This window comes from Homo sapiens, chromosome 8 (assembly GCF_000001405.40).
Source record: "Homo sapiens chromosome 8, GRCh38.p14 Primary Assembly".
NCBI classification, from domain to species: domain Eukaryota; kingdom Metazoa; phylum Chordata; class Mammalia; order Primates; family Hominidae; genus Homo; species Homo sapiens.
The window spans coordinates 120408267-120433754 of record NC_000008.11 but is presented as its reverse complement, the minus strand read 5'-3'; the positions used below and the strand labels follow the sequence as shown (position 1 = coordinate 120433754).

The window sequence follows — 25488 nt, the reverse complement described above, 5'->3', positions numbered from 1 at the left end:
ATACAGTTAAAAGCATGTATTTAATTGCTGGTTAGTTTTTGTTTAGAGTTAGTAGAGAAATGCTTCTTAGAATGAATTTACTAGAGATTTGGCATATATTATTGAGGAAGAACAATTTTTCCCAGATTAGATGTGATACCTTAGAACTGAAAGAATATGATTTTCAGTTGCTTTGTGGCAATCTGTCTAATGCCCCTTGGAAGATCTTTTTTGCTCTCTGTAGATATTTTTTGAGTGGCTCGAGATGCTTTACCTATATTTAAAACTTAACAATTTAAAAATAAATTCAGTTTTAATGGAAAGTTTAAAGATTCCATTTTTTCCTCCAAATAGATGTTATGGAAAGAGCCTACACCGGGTGTTAGGTAACTTAGCGTGTGAGCCTCTGCAAATCACTTAATCTTCTTCTGCTGTAAATGTCTGAATGTGAGCTAAAGTAATTTCAGTGTTTTTTGAGGTTGTCTGGTTATCTTCCCACCTTCTTTATTTGCTGTTCTGCTGCATTCGCCCAACTGCCTCAGTAGCCAACAGGGTGTCACTTTTAGGAACTTCAACCATTTAATTAAACATTGTCAGACTATTCTTTTCCATCTAATAACAGCAAGCTTCCCAGGTCTTTCATTCATACCTCTGAATTTCCTTTCACTCTAGTGATGAAAACCCACTTGCATTATCTTCTTTTCTTTATTCTTATCCTATATAGACTATGAACGTCTGTGAAAATTCTGCCACTCAAATTTAGGGCTCTGCATAGAATCTTATAATCTTTAGTTTTCATATATATTGTACTTGTATTTCTTATTTTTAGTACTTTTTTCTTGAGCTTCTAGAATATCTTGGTTTGTTTTTTCTATTAGTAAAATAGGTATTTTATAAATGTTTCTAATTACTTGATTTTGTTATGTATAGTCAGTTATTTGAAAATGTACATGTTAACTTTTTAGTTTGTTTTTAGATGAACAGCCAAACTTAGGGATAGAAAATGAAGCAGATACACATATTTTGATTTTCAGGTCATCTGTCCTGTCAAATATATTTACGTAGTCATAGTTGAGAGTAGCAGTTTAAATTTACTATAAACATGGTTGGAAAGAAACCTTTCCATGGTAGTTAATAAGATCAAAGCAGTCTGTTCCCTAAATTTGCAAAAAATAATAATTGTAATGTTTTACATATGTTTTCAATTTACCTGTAGGTAAAACATACTTTTTTATATCTATATACATACTGTTTTCATTTTCTTGGCTATTTTTCAGGGAAATTTTGTATCAGACATTTAAAGGCACTTAATACAAACATTTTTACTGAAGTGTAATTATTAATGGGAAAAGTCACAAGAATAACAGTAATTTGCCTTTAAAAGATGTATTGTTGTTATTGGCAACCTTATTAAATTTCTTTTACTTTGCAGTGTTGAGATTTTCCAAATGGCCAGCCAACTCTTTCTATACTTAGATGTTATATTAAAAAGTAACAGAAATCTATTCAAGGATTTTTGATGTTGCACTGTAACTTGCTTTTTATTTTTTAATATGTTGTTTGAACTTTGATAAGCTTTATAAATAACCAAGGCCACTTTTTCTTAAGGTTTTTATTTTTCTTACAAAATCTTGTTTCTTTTTAAAATGTAGGTGACTGTGGGGATCATGTTGTTATAATGAACACAAGACACATTGCATTTTCTGGAAACAAATGGGAACAAAAAGTATACTCTTCGCATACTGGGTAAGATAATGCTGTTGTCAGGGAAATTAGGTAGTTAAAATATATTACTTTAAGAATACAGTTGTTCTTACTTAAAAGAAAAAAGATATTTTTAAAAATCAGCATTTATTACTAATTTTACTCATGCCATGTATATAATTTACTCAATTTTTAAAAACCACACAACTATACCAAATATAGCTATTACCTGACAGTATTTGTTTATCCTACAAGTGTTTCATATAACCTGTGGACAAGATTATTCTCATGTTTTAGTCACTCTTTTACTTTGTATTTCTGCTTCCTGTAATTCATCTTACTGCTGTTTTCAGAACCATCCCAAACCATCTGAAAGTTAACAAGATGTTTAAGGAATGGTCACTCTTCTCTAGATAAAATCTTGTTTGTCAGTATCTCTCTTAAGTAAATACACTCACCTGGGTGTGTTCTGCTGGTTTCCAAATACAACGTGACTCTCCTCCATTTTTCAGTTAGGCAATCTTCTGTTGCAATAGAACTTTTCTTCAAGGCCATAGTATTTCTGTATTTGAGTTTACTGTCAGCTAAAACTCCTAAGTCTTTTTCAGGTATATTCCTGTTGAATCATGTCTTCTCCTTCCTGTGTGCTTTAGTTGTAATTTAATTCAATTGCAAGACCTTAAGTTTACTCCATGTTAAATTTTATCTCCAGCCTTTTAAGATCCTGATTTTATCATCTCATGTATTAGTTAACCCATAGCTTCAGGTCATGTGCACATTTAATTAAGTGTACTTTCTATACTGTTACTCAAGTTATGGTTAGAAATGTTATCTTTTATTCTTGATCAAAATCACTATTTTATTTCCAACTGCATCTTCGCCTTTGATGTTCCCATTTGTTACTTTTCATCTCTTTCCCCAAGTGCATCTTAAATATTTGGAACAACTGTTTTGCTTCCTTGAGCCAGCCTTTGCCCATTCCTCCCCTTAAAATACATTCATGAAATCTTTATATAATTTAACAAAACTGAATTTACATCCGTCTTTAGTAATTTCAGCTATTGGCAGATCTCTATGTATAAACCAAGTTCTACAAAATTGAGAGGTAATTGGGAAAGAAATATTAAAAATCAGAATAACATAATGTGATAAAAGCATAAAGGGAAGTATTGACACAAAATGCTATGGTAATTACTATAGCAATAATATGTAGTATTACTGCAAATGAAAGAAAATGACAGCACAGCCAGTAGTGAACAGCTACCATAATGTGTACGTCAGCTGGTAGTGTCCCTGTCAGTAGTGCTTTCTCACTGATAGGTGAAAATTCAAACTCCTTTACAAGTCATTGGAAACCAGTTCCCACTGCTGCTTCATAGTTCTTCTTAGACAACATATTGCTATTTCATTCCTTTCTGCCTTTGCATGTGTTGTTCCCCTGACAGTGAGGAATTCTCCTATTTATCCATTAAAAATTGACTCAGATGTCACAGTTTCTGGGATACCTTTGCTATTTCCTCATCGCTCAAAGAGTTGATTGCTTTTTGTTTCTGTTGACTCTTCACTTACACTTTGGACATACTACTTTATTATGCTCATAACACTGTATTACAATTACATATTCAAAATTTAGCTTGCTAGTTGTAAAATTTTTAGGACATACTAATTTTAGAAAATATAGAGAAGTTTAAAGAGGGAATTAAAATTCACTCCTGATCCCATGACTTACCATTTTAATATACAGTCAGCCCTCCATATCTATGGATTCCACATTGTGGAAATGTAAAATTTTCATTTTGTTTTGTTTTTTGAGATGAAGTCTTGCTCTGTCATCCTGGCTGGAGTGCAGTGGTACGATCTTGGCTCACTGCAACCTCCGCCTCCCAGGTTCAAGCAATTCTCCTGCCTCAGCCTCCTGAGTAGCTGGGACTACAGGTGTGCACCACCATGCCCAGCTAATTTTTGTATTTTTAGTAGGGACAGGGTTTCTCCATGTTGGCCAGACTGGTCTCGAACTCCTGACATCAGGTGATCTGCCTGCCTTGGCCTCCCAAAGTGCTGTGATTACAGGCGTGAGCCACTGCACCCGGCGTGTAATTTTTTTCTATTTAATTGTGTCAATACTGAACATGTACAGACGTTTTTCTTGTCATTATTCCCTAAACAATATAGTATAACAACTATTTACATAGCATTTACATTATATTGGGTATTATAAGTAATCTAGAGATGATTTGAAGTATACAAGAGGATGTGTGTAGGTTATATGCAATTACTATGCCATTTTATATCAGGGATATGAACATCCCTGGAATTTGGTATGCTCAGGAGGTCCTGGAACTAGTCCTCCACAGATGGAGAGGGATAACTGTATATACAAGTTTATATCCTTTTTCACTTAATAGAAAATTCTCAGAGAACCTTTTTGTAAGTATTATTTTTGGTTACTAAGTAGTAGTGCACAAAATGATTTACGATACTTGATCATTGTTCTGTTTTTTGAAATGAAAATTTTGGCTTTTATAAGGGGCTGATAAACATCTTTTTTTTCAATTCTTGTTTTTTGTTTTTTTTTTTTAACTTTTAAGTTCAGTTACATGTGCAGGTTTGTTACATAAGTAAACTTGTATCATGGGGGTTTGTTGTACAGGTTATTTCATCACCCAGGTATTAAGCCCAGTACCCATTAGTTATTTTCCTCTCTCTACTCCCACCCTCCACCCTCCAATAGGCCTCAGTGTGTGTTGTTCCCCTCTATGTGTACTTGTGTTTTCATCATTGAGCTTCCACTTATAAGTGAGAATATGCAGTATTTGGTTTTCTGTTCTTGTGTTAGTTTGCTTAGAATAATAGCCTCCAGCTGCATCCATGTTGCTGCAAAGGACATGATCTTGTTCTTTTTTTTATGGCTATGTAGTATTTCATGGTATATATGTACTACATTTTCTTTATCCAATCTACCTTTGATGGGCATGTAGGTTAATTCCATGTCTTTACTATAATGAATAGTGCTGCAGTGAACACACATGTGGATGTGTCTTCATAATAGAACAATTTATATTTCTTAGGGTATGTACCTAGGAATGGGATTGCTGGGTCAAATGGTATTTCTGTCTGTAGGACTTTGAGGAATCGCCACACTGTCTTCCACAGTGGTTGAACACTCCCACCAACAGTGTAAAATTCCCACCAACAGTGTAAAAGCATTCCTTTTTCTCTACAGCCTTGCCAGCATCTGTTATTTTTTGACTTTTTAATAGTAGCCATTCTCACTGGTGTGAGATGGCATCTCATTGTGGTTTTGATTTGCATTTCTCTAATGATCAGTGATTTTGAGCTTTTTTTCATGATTGTTGGCCATATGTACGTCTTCTTTTGGAAAGGGTATGTTCCTGTCCTTTGCCCACTTTTTAATGGGGTTTGTTTTTTCTTCTTGTAAATTTAAGTTCCTTATGATGCTGGATATTAGACCTTTGTCAGATGCATAGTTTGCAAAAATTTTCTCCCATTCTGTAGGTGTCTGTTTATTCTGTTAGTTTCTTTTGTTGTGCAGAAGCTCTTTAGTTTAATTACATCCCATCTGTCAATTTATGCTTTTGTTGCAATTGCAGTTTGCATCTTTGTCATGAAATCTTTGCCCATGCCTGTGTTCTTAATGATATTGCCTAGGTTGTCTTCCAGGGTTTTTATAGTTTTGGGTTTTACAGTTAAGTCTGGAATCCATCCTGAGTTAATTTTTGTATGTGGTATAAGGAAGGGGTCCAGTTTCAATCTTCTGCATATGGCTAGCCAGTTCTCCCAGCACCATTTATTGAACAGGGAATCCTTTCTCCATTGCTTTTTTGGCCAGGTTTGTCAAAGATCAAATAGTTGTAGGTGTGTGGTCTTATTTCTGGGTTTTTTTCCACTGGTGTATGTGTCTGGTTTTTTTTTTTTTTTTTTTTTATCAGTACCATGCTGTTTTGGTTACTGTAGCCCTGTAGTATAGTTTGAAGCTGGGTAGCGTGATGCCTCCAGCTTTGTTCTTTTTGTTTAGGATCGCCTTGGCTATTCAGGCTCTTTTTTGGTTTCATATGAATTTTGAAATATTTTTTTCTAGTTCTGTGAAGAGTCTCAGTGGTAGTTTAATAGGAATAGCATTGAATCTATAAATTGCTTTGGGCAGTATGGCCATTTTAACAATACTGATTCTTCCTATCCATGAGCATGGAGTGTTTTTCCGTTTGTCTGTGTCATCTCTGATTGCTTTTTATTATTAAAGTTTTTTTTCTTTTGAGATGGGGGCTCACTGTGTTGCCCAGGCTGGTCTTGAACTTGTGGGCTCAAGAAGTCCTCACACCTCAGCCTTCCACAGTACTGGGATTACAGGCATGAGCCATCATACCCAGCCTTCATCTCTGGTTTCTTTGGGCAGTAGTTTGTAGTTCTCATTATAGAGATCTTTCACCTCCCTAATTAGCTGTATTCCTAAGTATTTTATTCTTTTTGTGGCAGTTGTGAATGGGAGTACATTCCTGATTTGACTCTCCGCTTGACTGTTGCTGGTGTCTAGGAATGTTAGTGACTTTTTGCTAGTGATTTTTGCACATTGATTTTGTATCCTGTGATGTCTTTGTCCATTGATTTTTTTCATATATGTAGGATTATTTAAAATAAATCCCTGGAAGTGTAATGTGTTTTGATATCAAAGGAATGATCATTTATAGGTCTTTTGATAGGTATTTTCAATCATGAGTTTTCTAATCCATAGAAGAGCATACAAATGTTTGTTATCCCAAATCTGTGCAGGCACAGTATTATCTTTAAAAATAAGGCTGTTGTCTTTTGATATGCAGCTGAATATTTACATTTACTTAATAATGAAGTTTCAGTGTTACTTTATCACTTTCTATGGACGTTTTATCTATTAAGATTATTAATCCACTTTTGTTTTTTACTTTTAACAAAATTTTTATGTCATTTACTGTAGTTATTTAATTTTATATTATTACATGCCTTTTCCTTTGTAATTTCTTCTGTTTTCCAGTCTCAGAAATTCTTTCTTGTTCAGATTTTCATAAACATTTACTTCTAATTTTTTAGGGGTTGGTTGAATTGGGTGTGTGTGCACCTTGAACTTTCACATCTAAGTCTTTAGTCATCTAAAATACATTGGCATGAGTTAGAGATACAACTTAACAACTAGTTGTATCAACAGAATTGTTTAATTTTAAATAGGACAGGATTTTGTCATATTTATCTGTGTGTCCCCAGTTCCAGCATGATACACATTTAAGTGTTTATTGAATTAATTTCAATGAAAAACCCTTGGCTAGCATTTAAAACAAATGTTCTCTTACTCCATCCCATATTGGAGGAAAGAATGAGTTATTTTCTTACTAGTAAAAATCAATTGAGTGTTGCATTACTCAAGTCATCCTCCACTCAAAATTTTACATTAGCTTTCCAAATACGTCAGAATAAAGTCCAGACTTCTGAAATATATTGTAAATGGTATGTTTTAGAATTTGCCATCTCAATTTTCAAACTAGAAAGATCATCTTTCAGCATAGAAATTGTAAAATATTTTTTTCCATGGAGAGAAAGAATGCAGGAATAGAAGTCTAGACAGGCATTTCTTTTTCTAAAACTGAAATTCCATGAAAAAAGAGAATATCAATTTTAAAACTACCCATCTTTCTCAGCAAACTTCTAACTTTGACAAGTTTTATTCCTAAAATGTGTTTTCTTAAATCATCTTTAAAATATTTTCAAATTTTATTGAAGGGAACATATGGAAAAAATCACCTTTAGGTAATCTTAAGGTTTTTTGCAGATTCCACACTGACTTTCCAATTTCTTCCCCCTTTCTTGAAAATCGTTTGGACTTCATCTGTTTAGGAAAATAGAACCTTACATCTATATATGTATTATTTTTGTTTTAAATTTCCCAATCCCTTTCACAAATATTTTTTCATTTGACCCAGAAATCTTTTGAGGTAGATAGCATTATTTATTCATATGAGTAAAATTATATGCAGAGAGGTAAAATGAGTTGCCTGATATTACACTGGGAGTCACTGACAAAACCTAGATTCCATACCTGCATCTAGGGTATCTGGAAGCTAAGCTGCCTCCAGTACTATTCAATGTATATTTTGTAATTGCCACTTTTTTTCATTTTATAAAGAATAATCGATCTGAACACAATGAAATATTATATTACTTAGAGCCAATATGTAGCACTTAGAGACCTTTACAAACTGCTAAGAAGAAACATGATTACTGGCTGTCTAGAGTATGAACTTAATTCAGAACCAAGTGGACTACCAACATTTTCCCCAGACCTAACCCGTAGTTTATACGGTTTATCTAATTTGGTAAGGAACATGAAATAGTCTGGCTTGTTTCTATTTCTTTGTTAAATCAAGTAGTAATAAATACCCCATAATGAGTGAGTGAATTAATAACTTACAATTCAGATAGAAATATACTTATGCCAATAAATTTTTCCAAGAAGTAGAACTTTTTATGATATAATGGTAGTTGACCATTTAAGAGAATAGCATTTCAAAAAGCGTAGATTACTACTTAATTTTGAAAACACTAATGAAAAGCAGTTTCGAGAAACAATTTATTAAAATAGTTTTCTTATAAAAGAATGATCAGTTTAAGAATACAGTATCAGCCTATGCCCAGTTTTAATGTCTTTTCTCCTTTTAACAGCTACCCAGGTGGATTTAGACAAGTAACAGCTGCTCAGCTTCACCTGAGGGATCCAGTGGCAGTAAGTTTCTTGTATTTTTTATTAATCATCTTTGGAAAGACCAATTCAGATACTGTTTTGTCAGTCTCCCTTCTCATTATTTTAATATAGTTAGCATTCAAGGATATAAATTCTTCACTTTAGCTGTATCACACACGTTTTGATAAGTATTATTTTTAATATTCAACTCTATGTATTTTCTAATTGCTATGTATTATGTTTTGCATTTAGTCGAAGAATTCTGATGTTTTTCTTTTTAATTTTTGATACCTGCATAATCACCTAGTATATGATGAGTTTGCTGAAATGTCTTGGAAAGGAGAGAGATATATGTATGTATGTGTGTACATATATTTTCAAACATGCTAAGTGTGTTCTTCTTATATTCTAACTTTTTTGTTAACTCGAGTATTATCTGAGTTTATTTTTGTTTATTAACATCTCAATTGTAGATTAATTTCTTCTTACAGGTCTGTCCATTTTATTCTGGAAAAAATAGTAAAGTTCTTAAAAACAAAACTACTTTCATTTTATTTTATTATTTATTTATTTATTTTTCTGGAGACAAGGTCTCACTCTGTCACCCAGGCTAGAGCACAGTGGCACAATGATAGCTCACTGCAGCCTCAAACTCCTGGGCTCAAGGGATCTTCCCACCTCAGCCTCTCAAGCAGCTGGGACTACAGGTACACACCACCACACCCTGCTAAAACTTTTTATTTTTTGTGGAGACCAGGTTTTCCTATGTTGCCCAAGCTTGTCTCAAACTCATGGGCTCAAGCCATCCTCCCACCTCGGCCTCCCAAGTGCTGGGATTACAGGCGAGAGCCACCACACTCAGACTTTACTCTGTTTTTAATTTATGTTTTTAAAGACAGGATCTTGCTATGTTGCCCAGGCTGGACTCAAATTCCTGGGCTCAAGCAATCTTCCTATTTTGGCCTCCCAAACACCTGGGACTATAGGCACCCTGCTTGTTTATGTTTTATTTATTTTTTATTTTTTTTCCTGTCAATTTTTGCCTTATATATTTTGAAGGTTTAGTGTTAGATGAATTTAAGATTGGAATTGGAATCTTTCTAAACAATTGATCAGGGTCAATATGTACTGATCCTCTTAATCTCCAATAATGCTTTTTACCTTGAGGTCTATTTGTTCTGACATTAATATAGCTACATTAGCTGACTTTTGATTAGTGTTTGCCTCATATATTTCATTTTTTACACTTTACTAAGTTATTCTGTTATAGATGTTTTTATTGTAAACATCATGTAACTAGATTTTTTTTTCTCTCCTTTCTTGCTGCCTTTTGGATTGGTTGAATTGATTTATTATAGCTCTAAGGTTCATCAGTATTTTTACCTTACTTCCAAATCAATGAAAGCCCTTAGAAGATTTTTAACTACCACCCTCCCTCCCAATCTACAAGCTTTCTTTGTTCAGGTTTTTAAAAAAACTCTTCCAATTGAACATTCTTGTTATTGTTTTATTCTGTTACTGATTTTTTTAAATTTTCTTTTCTTACAATCCCTTCTTGTGACTCAGCCTGCCTTCTGGTATCAATTTCCTTTTCCTTGAAGTACTTCTTGCTGGCATTCTTCAAGCCACATTCTCTTAATACTGAACTCACCTTTTTTGTCTACAACTGTTTTCTTTATTTTGTGCTTTCATTCTTGAAAGATAGTTTTGCTATATGTGGAATTCTAAGATAACAATTATTCCATTATTTTTCCCTCAGCTTTTTGAAGCTATTATTCAATTGGAATTTAGCTTGTATTATTGCTTTTATGAATCAGATGTCGATTTAATTGTTTCTTTATGTGTACTCTTGTCTTTTTTTTCTGGATACCTTTAAGACCTTTTCATTGTCTTTGGTTTTCATATCTTCCTACTACAGTCTTATTTATTTGGTTTGAGTACTGGTGTCTTCAGTTCTGGAAATGTGTTAGCTCTTAAATCTTCTAATATTGGGTCTCTTTATTCTCTGTTTCTTCCCTTTGGAAATCTGGTTATAATAAGAGTAGACAGTTGCATTTGATTGTACATGATTCAGTACCTCTCTTTCATACTTCATGTCTCACTGTCTCTGTGGGGCATTCTCAGTAATTTCTTCAGATCTGTGTTCCAGTTCTGTATCTTTTCACCTGTGTCTAATCTGATTGACCTTTTTCTGAGGTGCTAATTTCAATTATCATTTTTCCCTTTCTTAAAGTTTTATTATTTGGTTCTTTTACAAATTTGTTGATCAGTTTCAATAGTCTTCTGTTTATCATGTTTTGGTTCACTCTTATATTTCTTTATGCATACTAAACATAATTCTTAGAGTTTAGATCTGATTCTAATATTTGTGGCCTTTGTAGGTCCGCAATTTATAATATCTGCTCAGTGTACTTACTTGGTAGGCTCATGTACCTTGAAACTTCATCTCCAGGAATTCTTTAAGACCTGTGTTAAAAATGACTTTCCTCAAAAAAGATTCACTTAGCTTATGGCTAAGTGAATTGGGCTATAACAACCTAAGTTTTTTGAGCTGAACTTTAGACTTACAGGATTTTGATCCCCACAAGAAGGATGAATTTGGGGCCTCAAAGCCTTGTGAGGTCAGCTTTGTTTCATACTTTAAAAAATATTTTTATAAACAATATTAATTAACTTCACGAATTAACTAAATTTTTAATTACTTTTAATTTTAACTACATAAATATATAAGTTTATATATATTTATATGTTTATATATGTTTATATATATGTTTATATATATATTTCCATATATTAAATGACCTCTCAGAAACATAAAGTCTTAACACTAATAGAAAACAGATGGAAAATTTATATGGTTCATTAATGTTTATTTCTTTGTGTATTATACTGGGAGAAGTTCTAATTCATACATTAGTCACCAATATTGCTAAAGGCAAAGTCTCCTGTTGTTTTTTCTTTTAGCTATTGATAGACCTAAACTTTCAACTTTACTCATAGGTTAGATAGCATGTTTTTCCTATTAGAGACTATTTTATCTTTTTGCTGCAATACATTAATAAATTAGCAAAGTGCTAGACCTAAAAATATCATTTTTTGTTTCCCTAAAATAATAAAAATAAATATCTATTGTCAGGATACAACCATTTGTTTGGTATAATACTGCCTAAAATTTTCTTGGTAAGGTTGGGGGGAAGGATATTTTATTATAATAAGACCTGACATACCATTTAAAAGTTTCATGATTTACTATTTATTTTGTATTGTTTATATCTGTTTTATAAAACTGTGCTCAGAATTTGCTTCTTAGGAAATATTTAATTTTTTTTTCATAACTAGTGTGTTTTTAAGCCTTACAGGTCAAAATATTATATTTTGAATATTAATATGCTTTGTATATAATAGCATTAAAAGTTATAAGGCTCCTGATAATATATATCACAGCTGTTAACAATAAATTATACTTTTAATACTTCATAAATATTTTAAATGTTAAAATGAAAGTTTCTATTTTATGTTAACTGTACACTAGGAGGCAGTATAGTATAACTTTCATGTTAAAAATTTGGTCTTAGGTAACTTTTGTAGAAATTGTTTCAAATTATTGTTTATGAGCAATAATTGAAATGGATTGTAAAATGTTTGAGGAAGGCTTAGGAAATATTTCAGAGTTAAATCCATTTGGATTATTACCTCATTAAAGGATTTTAATTTTTTAAGTCTTAATTTTTACTATGTTTTGAAAAAGAATGGCTCGTCAAGGAAGAGATTTATTATTTACTTTTAATTCAAATCCTAAGTTTTTGTCTGGAATAGTAGGCCTCTGCCAGTAGACATAATTTGCTTATCAGTTCTTACTGTGTGTGGCCTATCGGAGAATTTGTTTCACAATGCAGCTTTCTGATTATTAGTACAGTATTGGAATACTATTTGTGAAATATCTTAATTAATATTTAATAGTTAAATAGGTAATAGTTTGTTAAATATTTAAAATTTTTCATAATGATGTAGATTATTCTAATTTCAAATAAATATATCGATTTAGCCCTTTCCTTATGTTCTTTTTCTCTCTGTTGTATGTTTTAGCTTCTTTAAGAGGTTCTATGTCCTTATATTTTCTTCTAACATGGTTCCTCTATTTGATTTTTCCCCTTCCTATAAATAATAAGTTACTTCTATGGCACAAATGGCACGTACCCTGGGATATAGATTATATGAGGAAGGTCTTTGATATTTACTAACTTTATCTTATTCTATTTTTTTTACTTTCTGAATTTCTTAAAACTTATACTTAATGTCTGTACAGCTAGAATTACTTTTTTGCATGTACATGTTGTTTCACCTTTGTTTACGTACATTTGTATGTCTGTCTTTTTTCTTCCCTGTTAGCTTATAATCTTTTCACATTTTCTAGCCTTTTTAAATTTGAGTGTGGAGTTTGCATTTTCTAATAGGGCAGATTTTTAAAATACCAACTTAGTAATTCAAATAAATACAACTAAATTTTTTAGAAACATGAAAATCAAATGCCGTGTAACACTATTAATACAATAAAATGCCTTTATGATAATATTCAGAGGATATAATTACTTGCTTATCCAGAAAAGATAGTCTTAACATTGTCAGTTTCAATTTACAACTTTTAAAACATTGAACAATTTCAGTGCTAATAACTAAATCAGTGCTGTCTAGTAGAAATTTTTGCCGTGATGGAAATGTTCTGTGTCTGCACTGTCAAACATGGTAGCCACTAGCTACATGTCAACCGACCACTTGAAATGTGGCTTTCATGACTAAGGAACTAAATTTTTAATTGCTTTTAATTTTAACAACATAAATATATATATATTTATATATATTTTATATATATTTATATATGTTTATATATATGTTTATATATATTTACATACATTAAATGACCTCAAAAACATAAAGTCTTAACACTAATAGAAAATAGATGGAAAATGTATATGGTAACCCATTAGCTTTTGCATGTAATGAGGCTTTGTGGTCTGATTTGATGAGAGAATAAAAGAGGAAGGCCTCTTAACAAAGTAACCCTATTCTAACATGTATTGTTTTAGTGGGTTTAGCTTTAACACACATCAAATTATATTGAAATATGAGTGCAAATGATAATTATTCTATCTAAAATTGGCACATATACGGGTTACTTTTAATCTTTTTTCTTTTTCTAAATAAACAATAAATGGAGCCAAAAGAAAATAGTAATGTACAAAGTAATAAAAGTTTCTTTTCTGTTGCTTCCACATATCCACTTAGGTCTATTTCTTTCCTATATTCGTGTTGAATCTAAACCCCTCATTTTCATCATCATCTCTAATTATGTTTGCTTTCTTACTATCGCAAGTCACAATTTTCTTATTGTGTCCTATGTATATCTTTCAGATTGTAAAACTAGCTATTTATGGCATGCTGCCAAAAAACCTTCACAGAAGAACAATGATGGAAAGGTTGCATCTTTTTCCAGATGAGGTAAGTCAGTGGTCATTGGTAACAATGCTTTTCCAAAATTTTCAATTAAATGTTTCATTTTCTTTTTAAATAAATGCCACAGACTTATTTTCAAAAATTTTATGTCAACTTCTGAAATATTTTTGTATTTTTAAATGAATATGTATGTATAAAAAATGATAATTCTATTAATATTTTAAAATGTAAAATGAACCATCATTGGACTAAAAATTAAAAGTAAGTTTTTAAAAAAAATTTTAATCACTGCTTGCTTTTGAACAAGGAGCTATGATCAGAAACCCTGTTAAATTGAGGTACTTGTTGATAATTTCATTCACTATGAAAAAGTGTTAATTTAGTTCACTTTTTATGTGACCAGTAGCAAAACTTCTGTGAATCATGGATAAATAGCTTAACTTTGGTTGCTATTGTTTCCCATGATTTAACTTTAGAATACTTGTTCATACTCATAGTTGATTCAGCTAAAAATTACTTGGAAAAGAGTGTAAACATTTTTATTTATTAGTATTATATTGTTTTAAGTACTTAACTTTTCTCCTTAATATGATGTAATGAAATATTAAAGCTTCTATAATAAAATAATATTTTATCAAGTCAGACTGCCTGGCTTTGAATCTGTGCCCCATTATTTACTGACTGCATGGACTTGGGCTCGTTACTTATCTCTGTTTTCTAATCTGTGAAGTTGACATAATAATAGTATCTATTTTACAAGATTGTTGTAAGGATTAAATAAAATACACTTGTAGATTGCTTAGAACAGAAACTGGCACAATAAGTGCTAGATGCTATCATTACCATGGTTATAATTGTCCTTCTTGTTCCTTCTGAAGGAATACTGTAGAAATTTATTCCAAAATATCAAGTTATAACGATTTTTCAAGCTATTTATGTGCTCTTACTGTTTAAGCTTTAAACAATACATGAATAGTTATTAATAATGAGTAAGTTATTCATGCTTTATCAAAATGATTGATTTATTGTCTTCGCTATAAGTGAATAAGTAGAATAATTTCCCACTATTCACTTTACCTCTAAGGTAGCATGTATGGGAGCAGTATCATCATCCAAGGATCACTTCATGATGAAATTGCAAGAATTTAAGAACTCCTATTTCTGATTGTATTGTCACTTTCTTTAGAAACCATAATTTCTAAAAGACACAAAAATAATATTTATTTCATTTACAAGATACGTTTGAGTGTAGATATTTTAAGTATTCACGATAGTTCCGTTAAATAGGAAATTATTTCATTTCAGACTATAAAATAAATGAGCCTAGTTCCCAAAAGTGAATTGGTAAGTATTCAGAAGCTTGACAGTACATTTTATCAAGCCGATGGGGGAAACAGGCACACTTATACATTGTTGGTGGTAGCACAACATGGTGCATCTCATCTGGAATCCTGGGAATTAATTAGGTAACATATAATGAAAATACATACATCAGGAGATTGATCCTTGATCCAGCAATCTCATTTATAAAAATACACCTTCAAGATACACATGCACATGATTATTTTCACTGTATTCAATAATGGTACAATAAGAAAAACAAATAATGCTTATTCATAGGAAATAAATTATCGAGTATTGTGCAATTTTTTAAAAAAAGAATGACAGATATTTTTGTGACTTGGTAAGTTGTACTTTCCAGGATATATTGTTAAGTGAAAACAAACAAGGTAAAAAAGAATGTAGATGGCATACTACATTTGTATGCATATATACCTATGTATGTTTACATACACACAAGCATATATTTATGTGCGCTACTTTTTGCGTAAAGCACGGGAAGAGAAAGTTGCAACTACTAGACTATGGGTACAAAGGAATAGGGAAAGAATGAGATTTTTTTCAGAGACTATCTTTAAATTTATTTTTTATGTTAATCATGCTAAAATTTTATATATTAGAAAAATAAAATGACAGCAACAGTAGAAGTGAGCACAACTAGTTCCCAAATCTTGTTTTCCACATGCTATTCCCTACCAAAAGGAACTTAGTTCTTGGAGAACTGATTGATTCACGATCTGGAGCAGAGAGAGAACTAAATTATTATAGGGTATACACATGCAAAAGACTATTATTTCTGCATGATTTATAATAGTGAAATAATAGAAAGTAACAGAAAATAAGGCAATACTCAAAAACTAATGGAGCAATATCAAGGGAACATGGAGCCAGCTTTAGGTGGTGCCCACTGACCAAATACAGGACTGTGTGAGCCTCAAAACACATGGTAATAATAAGGGATTACACTGAATAAGAAAACAAAAATCTATACGGCTACAGTGACCATCCAAAAATTATTTTTAATTTATTATGATGTCCCTTCTTTCTGAGGATAGAAAAGCCCTCTATAGAAGAATATCATATAAAAAATATGGAAGGAATACTGAACTAGAAAAGCCATCATTACCAGCGTATTCTGTGGCCACTGGGTAAAAGGTTATTGTGGAGCAGGATATTTATAGTTTCCAAATACCACAATACAGAGTATTTATTATTTGTAAAGGGCATCTTTTCAATTATTTGTGATGGGAATCTTCCCATTGCTTTTACATTAATAAAATCTGGTGGACACCACCGTAACCATGAGATCAAATCTTTGGTCACTGTGGGAAAAACTGACATCAGGTGCCTCCTGCTATGAAGCACTGAACACTCAACATAAACTATATGGCCTCTTGTCAGTAATGCTTAACCTGAATGTAATCATGGAACAACAATAGTATAAATCCAAATAAAAGGAAATTCTGCAACATAACTGGCCTGGACTCTTGAAATATTAAAGAAAAGGCAAGGAAACTTACGATAAAAGGAGACTAGACTACAGAGTAAACAACATAATATAGTAACTAAATGCATGTGATTCTTGACCTGATCCTGAATTGGGAAAAGTTACATATGACAATATTAGACCTATTTGGGAAATTTGAATATGTACTGTATATTAGATAAAAAGTATTTCATCAATGTTAATTTTCCTGAACATAAAATTTAATGTTCTATAGGGAGACTAGGAGATACATGCTGAAATATTTAGTTTGAAGTTTTTGCAAATTACTCTAAAATGGTTCATCCAAAAAGTGTTTGTATATAGACAGACCAAAAGAGAAAGCAAACATGTCATGCTAACAGTTGGGGAACTTAGGTAAAGATTAGATTAATGTTCATTATATTGTCACAACTTTTGTGTAAATTTAAATTTTTCTAAAGTAAAAAGTTGCAAAAAAAGTGATCACTTGACCCCTGTTTCTGTTTGTTGCTCTGGTTCTTTCCCTCATTTCCCCTTAGGTTAACCACCTCTGTGTGAAGGGAACTCTTTATTTTTATTTATTTATTTATTTATTTTGAGACGGAGTCTCGCTCTGTCACCCAGGCTGGAGTGCAGTGGCACAATCTGGGCTCACTGCAAGCTCCGCCTCCTAGGTTCACGCCATTCTCCTGCCTCAGCCTCCCAAGTAGCTGGGACTACAGGCACCCGCCACCACGCCCGGCTAATTTTTTGTATTTTTAGTAGAGACGGGGTTTCACCGTGTTAGCCAGGATGGTCTCGATCTCCTGACCTCGTGATCCACCCGCCTCTGCCTCCCAAAGTGCTGGGATTACAGACGTGAGCCACCGTGCCCGGCCAAAGAGAACTCTTAAATCTCCATAAACACATTTAGTTAGCATTCATGGGTTACCTTCTCTGTATGCACATTAAAGGAGGTACTTCTCCCTCTTCCTGGTTTCATGTGTAATACCTAATCAAAAACTTTGATTCCTCATTTTGCATTGATTTTAACCATTCAGCAAAATCCTCTAATAGTAAAGAAATTTGGCTCATTGTATTCAAAATTCTATTCCATTCAGCAAACATTAGCTAGGAAGCCACTGTGTTCCACATGCTCTACGCTGAATGAGCACTTAGCAGCTTTTTGAAATTGTCTTTACAACTGATCTAGGGAATTTTATACTGGCTTTCCAAAGAAGTATGAAATATTTATACATCTTTGGAAATATCTGACAGGTAGGCGCCTTCAATAAGTAAAAAATAAGTATCACCAACAATCTTTTATATGTCCAGGCATCCTCTGCTTGCCCTGACTCTGTAATTATTGTGCAGATTTGAATATACTGAGAAAGTGATAACAATAGGAGAAAGGATGTTAAATATTGTTAAATGCTTTTCAGTGAAGAAGCACATTATCAAGAGTATCTATTGTGTTTTCTGTATGTTGATAGTGACCCAGCCTATCCAAACCACAATTTTTAAAATTCATTTAAATTGCCTAAAATATTATAAATATTTTGCTATATTGGGTTTTAGAACAAGCTTACAGGACAGTAGAGCTCTGTGATCCTAAAGTTATAAAATTTTATCCTGATTCTTAAGACAACATGTCTTAAGACAACATGTCTTAAGAATTGATCAAAGTGCTGCCTTATTTGATGCCATGTCCTTGGCCAGATATTGGATTCCCACTTGTAATAGTGCGCTCTGCAGAGAGCTGTAATTTACTGTGTGATAATCCTTTTATCGAAAATTCCTGTACACATACTATAATGAGAAGAGGGAATTATATCTACTCTCCTTATAAGAATGCCTATAAGACACTTCCATACTGATATCTTACCGTTATTTAAAAAGAGTTCCCAAAATCAATTTATCATCCAGTCTCAATACAGTTCATTCTCCCAGCTGCCTTATTTCTGCATCATGAGTACAATATAAATGTTCATTCTTTTGGTTACCCACACTCTTCATTTTATCATTCCTCCTTAGTCTGTCTAATTCCAATGCTTTCTTCTTTTAAAATGTCTTAGATATGTGCTTTACTCTTTAGTGTGCCTTTCAGTATCTAAACTCAAACTTTAAAAAATCTTACCTTGATTACTGAAACAGCCACTTAACTCTTCTTGTCTCCAGCTTTTCTCCACTGCAGTTCATTGTGTCTACTGTTGGCAGGTCAATCTTCCAACTCTTCATTTTTCTGAATATTGGATACATAGTAGGGGGAAAGTGGTCCTGGTCAGGGGAATACAATTAATAAAGATATCATGATTTGAGTCTAGAGCAACACATGAAAGGTTGAGGAGGTTGATTAGACAGAAACCATGGTTGTGTCTGTGGAGAGTGACATTGGAGAGGTGGACTAGTGGTAACGACACTGTCTAGCTAAGCAAATTTAGCAAAGGAGTTAGAGCTTTATCCTGAAAAATTTTAAGCTGAGAGGTGACTTTTTAAAAATTATAAGCCTTTAGAAGGCTTGATCTTTTTATTTTCCTTTATATGGCCAGCACCTGGCACAATTTTTGGTTCTTAGAAGTTCAATAAATGTTTCTTAGATAAATAAATGACTCAAAGATTTTCATTTTCAAATTTTTTTCTGGCCACAGTTGGAGCACTGATTGAAAGGTAGTGGCACTAAACCCGGTAGACCCAGTACATATACTTGTCAGATGAGAAAGCATGAGAATGAGCCATAGCAGTGTCTTTTTGCAATTGAAAAGAGGGAAATAAACAGCACATTTTAAAAAATAGGTATCTTATTATAATGGGATTACTTGTATTATTAACCTAATGTACTTTTGGGGAATTTTTATAAGGTTTTTATTTTAAAGATTTTATGTTTTCCTTATTCTACGAGCATTCTTTTGCTTATTTTTTTAACACTTATGAAGTATTAGTAATTTATTGCTAAGAAAGATATTTTAAGAAAATTAAGTCTAAATTTTTTTTTAATGTAGTATATTCCAGAAGATATTCTTAAGAATTTAGTAGAGGAGCTTCCTCAACCACGAAAAATACCTAAACGTCTAGATGAGTACACACAAGAAGAAATAGACGCCTTCCCAAGATTGTGGACTCCGTAAGTGTTTCCCTTCTTCTTGTTTTTTTTTCTTTTGATATCCTCTGTTTCCTCAACCATATGATTAAATAAGATCCTTGAGGGCGGGAAGAGTGAACTCATTTTTTTGCTCCCCTGGGAACTCAGCAGCTACTACCTACAAATAAACTCTAGATGTAGGTATTAGAACCAAAAATTTTTAAGCATTAAGACCTTGCTAGATAAGTGCGAGGATGTTCATAGGTTCCTATAATTATCAAGTATTTTGTTTGGGCTGATGGTAGTCTTTAGGAATGATATATGAATTGTTATTAATCTAAAACGTAATGATTCTCAGTTTTCCACATTGTTTCATAAGTTAAAAATATTATCTAATGAAAAGTCATTAATTTTGGATACTTGTTGTCTTGGTCCAAAAAGAAAAACAAAATAAAAAAATACTTTTTGCTCTCCTCTGTACAGTTTCCTCTACCTAAGGCCGTAAAGCTGCTAAGATGTAACATTCTTTCTCCCATCTAGTTGTTTCTAGGCTTTTTTGCCAGGGCTATCCAGATGATGAAGCATTTAAGTGTAACTTCCTCAGGCAGTCCTTCCTGTAATCTTTGAACCGGGTTAGGCTCTCATTATGGGTTCTCATCGTACACTTCCATTTACTGATTTACTCTAATTATATATTTGTGTGATTATCTGTTTACTATCTGTCTTTCTTGCTAGACTTCATGAGGGAGCTACATGTTTGTCTTATTTAGCACTGAGCATGGTGCTGGACAAATTAAATAGACACTCAGCCAGTATTTATTGAATAAATTAATTAAGACTTTTATCAGCTTTTATAAGTGACTTTAGGAAAGAATCTCTAGAAAATATGAAGCAAAGACCACTTTTCATTTTTTTCACAGCATTTATCACTATCTACTGTACTCTCATTTATATGTGTGTCTGTTATTTGTCTCTCTACACTCATGGCAATAATAAAAATAGCAAGCACTAATAAAGCATTTATTGTGTGCTTTACATGTATTAATCTACTAATCCTCAGAGCAATCTAGTGAGTCAGTACAATTTTTATTTTTATTTTTATTTTTTAAATGAGAAAATATGGGCACAGAGAGATAAAGCAACTTGACTAATATCACATAGTTATAAATGGTATATTAAGGATTCAAGCCTGAGTGACTAGCTGCTGGGTCATGCTCCTAACTCTGCTGGAATGCCCCTTCTTGCATTGGCATGTCAGCTTCAAGGGGGCAGGGACATTGTCTGGTTCAACATTTACATCTTAGAAATACTTAGAAACCCTTAGAAATAGTACTTGGTGCATAATGGGCACTCAGTAAGTGTTTTGGAAAGAATGAAGACATGAGCTCTTTCCCTAAAAATTAATTGTGAAATTTTCATGAATAGCTTAAGTTTTAGAAAAATCCAAACCAAGGTTCAAATCTTGCCTCTATAGTAGCTGACTCTATAACCTTAAGTAAGTCATCTTTCATTTTGAGCCTTAGTTTCTTCATCTCAACTCAGTTTCTTCAGTTGTAAATTAGAGCCACTCCATACTTCTGAGAATTGCTGGAAGGAGTAAGTGAGCAACTTAGCACACTTGAAGTGTTGACTAAGTTTTTAATAGGAGAATTTTTTTGCTATTGCAAATTCTATACCATTTTAACATGCTTGCTAGTGTAGAGTTTTATTGTAAATGTACTTAAGTTGATGTAGTTTGAAAATATTCAGCTTTGATAAGTTATATACTAAAAACATTTTAAGTTGTCCTTGAAGTTTTGACAGGTTACCTTCCTATAACAGTTCTGTAAATATGTATCTGATTTTCTTACAGAAACACCATCATAAATGAATTTATATTCCTGACCAAGAGGGGTGTGGTACTCTTTTTTTTAAAATTAGAAATAATAAAGTTGCTGTTAAATCATGTATGTGCAAATACATATTATACACTTGAAGTCATATTTCATGAATATTCTAAAGTGTATTCTAAATCAGTTAAACTGGCACCACACTAATATAATAATTCACAAATTATATTTAGTGTTATTATAGTCAGAGTACTGACCAAAATTTTCATTCTGCTGAATGATTTCTGCTTTCTTTTGAAACAAATTAGAAAGTGCCTGAGTGCCTTCATTTTATTAATAGAATTAGAAAGGGCTTTTCTATAGCTATTTTTAAGGAGATTTTTAGAGAAACTTAGAGCCACTAGATGCATTTTTTAGTTACTACTCTGGGAATAGATTTTCCTGCCCTCTCTCTTCATTCCAGATTTCCCTGAGGCAGGAATATGCATTAGACACTAGGTTTTCCTTTATGCTTTATTAAGGTTGTGATTTTTTCCTCATAAATAGTCACACGCATATGTTAACTTGTATTTTCAAAATAGTAAAATAGGTATACGTTTACTGAAACGTATGGATAGTATAGGTGTACTAGTCATTTAATATAAATCATTCTGTATTTCTTTCTCCCTGCACATTTGAGCTGACATCAAGTCCAGTTAGTCTTTATTACGTGAAAAGTGTGTGACCAGGAAAAATATAGTCATTTTTGGATTAACCAAAAGCTTATCTAAGAAATAGATGATCATTTACTTCAAGGCTCTTGAGTAGAACTTTCTACAATGATGAAAACAACTCTCAGCCAGGCATGGTGGCTCATGCCTATAATCCTAGCACTTTGGGAGGCCAAGGCAGGAGTACCTCTTGAGTTCAGGAGTTCAAGACCGGCCTGGGCAAGATGGCAAGACCCTGTCTCTACAAAAACAAAAAACAAAAAAATTAGCCAGGTGTGTTAGCACACACCTGTAGTCCCAGCTACTTGGTAGTCTGAGGCAGGAGGATCTCTTGAGCCCAGGAGTTTGCAGCTGCAGTGAGCCATGATCATGCCACTGCACTCCAGCCTGAACAACAGAGCAAGACTTGTCGAGAGAAGGGGAGGGAGAGGGAGTGGGAGAGGGAGGAGAGGGAGAGGGAAGCCTGGCGCGGTGGATCACCTAAGGTTGGTAGTTCAAGACCAGCCTGGCCAACATGGTGAAACCCCATCTCTAATAAAAATACAAAAAAAACTAGCCGGATATGGTGGTGGGCACCTGTAATCCCAGCTACTCTGGAGGCTGAGGCAGGAGAATTGCTTGAACCCGGGAGGCGGAGGTTGCCGAGATCGCACCATTGCACTCCAGCCTGCGTGACAAGAGCAAAACTCCATCTCAAAAAAAAAAGAGAGAGAAAGGAAGGAAGGAGGGAGGGATGGAGGGAGGGAGGTAACTCTCTATTCGAGCTTCAAATACATTAGCTACTGTTGACGTGTGGCTCTTGAGCCCTTGCACTGTGGCTAATGTGACTAAGGAACTGAATTTTTTATTTGATGTAATTTTAGTAAATAAAATTACGTGTTAGTGAATAAAATTACGCTACCTTCATATGGCTAGTGTCTACATTATTGGACTATGCTATTTTAGTTATTGGACTATGCCATTTTATAAAGTTCTATTAAATATTATATACTTTAGAATTAGAATTAAAATATTTGATATGCCATGCAGTTCAATTCATGGAACATGAGGTTTTTATTATTAAAGGATTGCCTTTATTAGAAAAAAATTTTTTTCTCCTTTTGGAGAGGACCTTGCTTAAGATATGCTTTTGTTCTACCCAACATAGCTAAGCCAAGAATATAATTTTCCTTTGGAATGTAGTAACTGGAATTTGTTTAAGATAAATCTGATGGTGAATCTGCAGAGACTTGACTGAAACAAATGTACCTGCATTGCGCCACAAGTATATAGCCACAAAAATAGCTTGCTCTGGTGTTTGCTGCCCTAGTAATAAAACTTAAAATATGTTCATAATATTAGAATGTACATCTTATAATTTGAACTATTATTAATATTTGGTTAAATATAAGTTTATTAACTTTTCTATTAGAGACTAAAAGCTTCTGAGCAGCAGAAACAATTATCAAAGAGCTTTGAACCCAGTAGATGATTAACAAAATTGCTTTAATCTTAATTAAAAGCTAGCATTGTTGGGATTTTATTTAAATTATTTTAAATCATCTTCAAAGATTATATTCTTTCAGGCCTAGTTTCAGCATACATTAGGTTTTCTTTTGCTAGTTGTTGTTCAGTCATTAGTTATTGTCATTTTTAAGCTATGGTAGGAGATAAGGAATGAAATTGATATTTATGACAAAACTATACTTTTTTAAAACTAAAAGCCATTTTATATATACTATGGGTACTATTGCCCATTCATCTCACTTCTTAAGTTAGTGGATATTCTTGGTGTATTAGTATATTTTACATAAATCATGGATACATAAATTTTGTGAAAATATGTTAGGAAGTTTATTTTATATTTCTTGACTGTACAAAGCAGATATGTATTTGCAATGTGCAAATGGTGACTGTGGGGTTTATACTTAGATTTTTTTTCTTTTTTCTTTAAAGGAAAAAAATAGCACTATCTTTTCTTCACAATTCTGTTGCTTAAGATTGTAGCTTTAAAATGGTCAATTTATTTTAATACTATCAATTGTTACATGATTATTGCAGTTTTGCCAACACATTTCACAACCCCAATAATCATGGAAATTAATCATGCTCATTGTAAGGGAAATGTTTCAAAATGTAGTCTACAAATAAAACTTGGATCATTTTAAACTTTATTTTCAAGTTTTGCAAAATGATGCAGGAGAGCTTTTCCTAAGGAAAACTACGTATGTGAAAAAATTCAACTTGAATTGCTTTGCATTATTTTTCCTTACATGTTAATTCAGTAAGAAATGCTTGTTTTAAGCAAAACTCTCACCTTTGTAGAGAAGCTAACCATGGAAAGCTTCAGCATCAATACATGCTTGAACACAGGTTTTTATAACAGAAACCTGTGTTCCTGGTGTTTCAGTACTCTAGAGTGTGCTATTAGAAATGTGCCTGCAAAGGAGAGATGGATGGTAAGGATGAAGACAAGGAAGTATGAGGACAACCATTACTGATGCAGAACTGTCTCTTCGAAAGTAGGATGAGGATTAGGGAGTTCAATATGTGATCCATTCAGCTCTGTAAAAGAAAAGCTGGATTCCAGATGCTGGGAACATTAGCACTGCATTGGTGAGCATCCTCTTCAGTCTATAGCTCTAGAAGAGAGCACGGATTTAAGCTTAGTGCATATTCTCTGATATGAAAGCTGTTAATCCTAAAAACTACCCATTTTCAGATTTACTTAATACTCAGAAAAAGATTATTTTTACCTATGCCTTTATAAAACATGCTTCAGATCAGAGACTTAAAGACAATGTAGAAGGATTTTTACCTTTTCTAATCCATAAGTTGCTGGGATCTGGACAGCTTTAAGATTTTCCATAATTTTCTTCTAGTCTAGTCATGTGGCATTTTCTCCACACAATTTAACTTAATTTGCTGCTCTTCACAGTCAGCAGTTACTAGCTGGACTTGTGGACTAAGGTTACTTTCCAACTTTCCTACCTATTTCAACCAGTTCAGCATTGACTTCAATGATAGACTTCAGTCTTTCCAGTCCTGGGTTTTGCTCAAATTAGGCATTCTAAGCTGTACTGTTCTTTTGGATGTGAATAGATCAGGACTGGCTAGTAAAATAAAAAAGTAGTCTCTATTTAAACAACAAAACCCAAATCATTTATAAGTCCTAGCTGATACAGATTTTGACTAAAAAAGTGCAGTTGAATGTAATGGCAATTTCTGTTCATTTTAATTGAAAAAAT

The 25488-nt window shown here is 32.9% G+C and overlaps 1 protein-coding gene across 1 annotated transcript in view; it reads left to right on the top strand.

Moving 5' to 3' along the window:
- Nucleotides 1-25488, top strand: part of MRPL13 (mitochondrial ribosomal protein L13) — a 49714-nt gene that overhangs the window by 11396 nt on the left and 12830 nt on the right. The window contains exons 3-6 of the mRNA NM_014078.6: nt 1632-1725; nt 8389-8449; nt 13817-13903; nt 19643-19764. Of these exons, the coding sequence (NP_054797.2) occupies nt 1632-1725; nt 8389-8449; nt 13817-13903; nt 19643-19764 (364 nt within the window). The remainder of the gene's footprint in view (nt 1-1631; nt 1726-8388; nt 8450-13816; nt 13904-19642; nt 19765-25488) is intronic.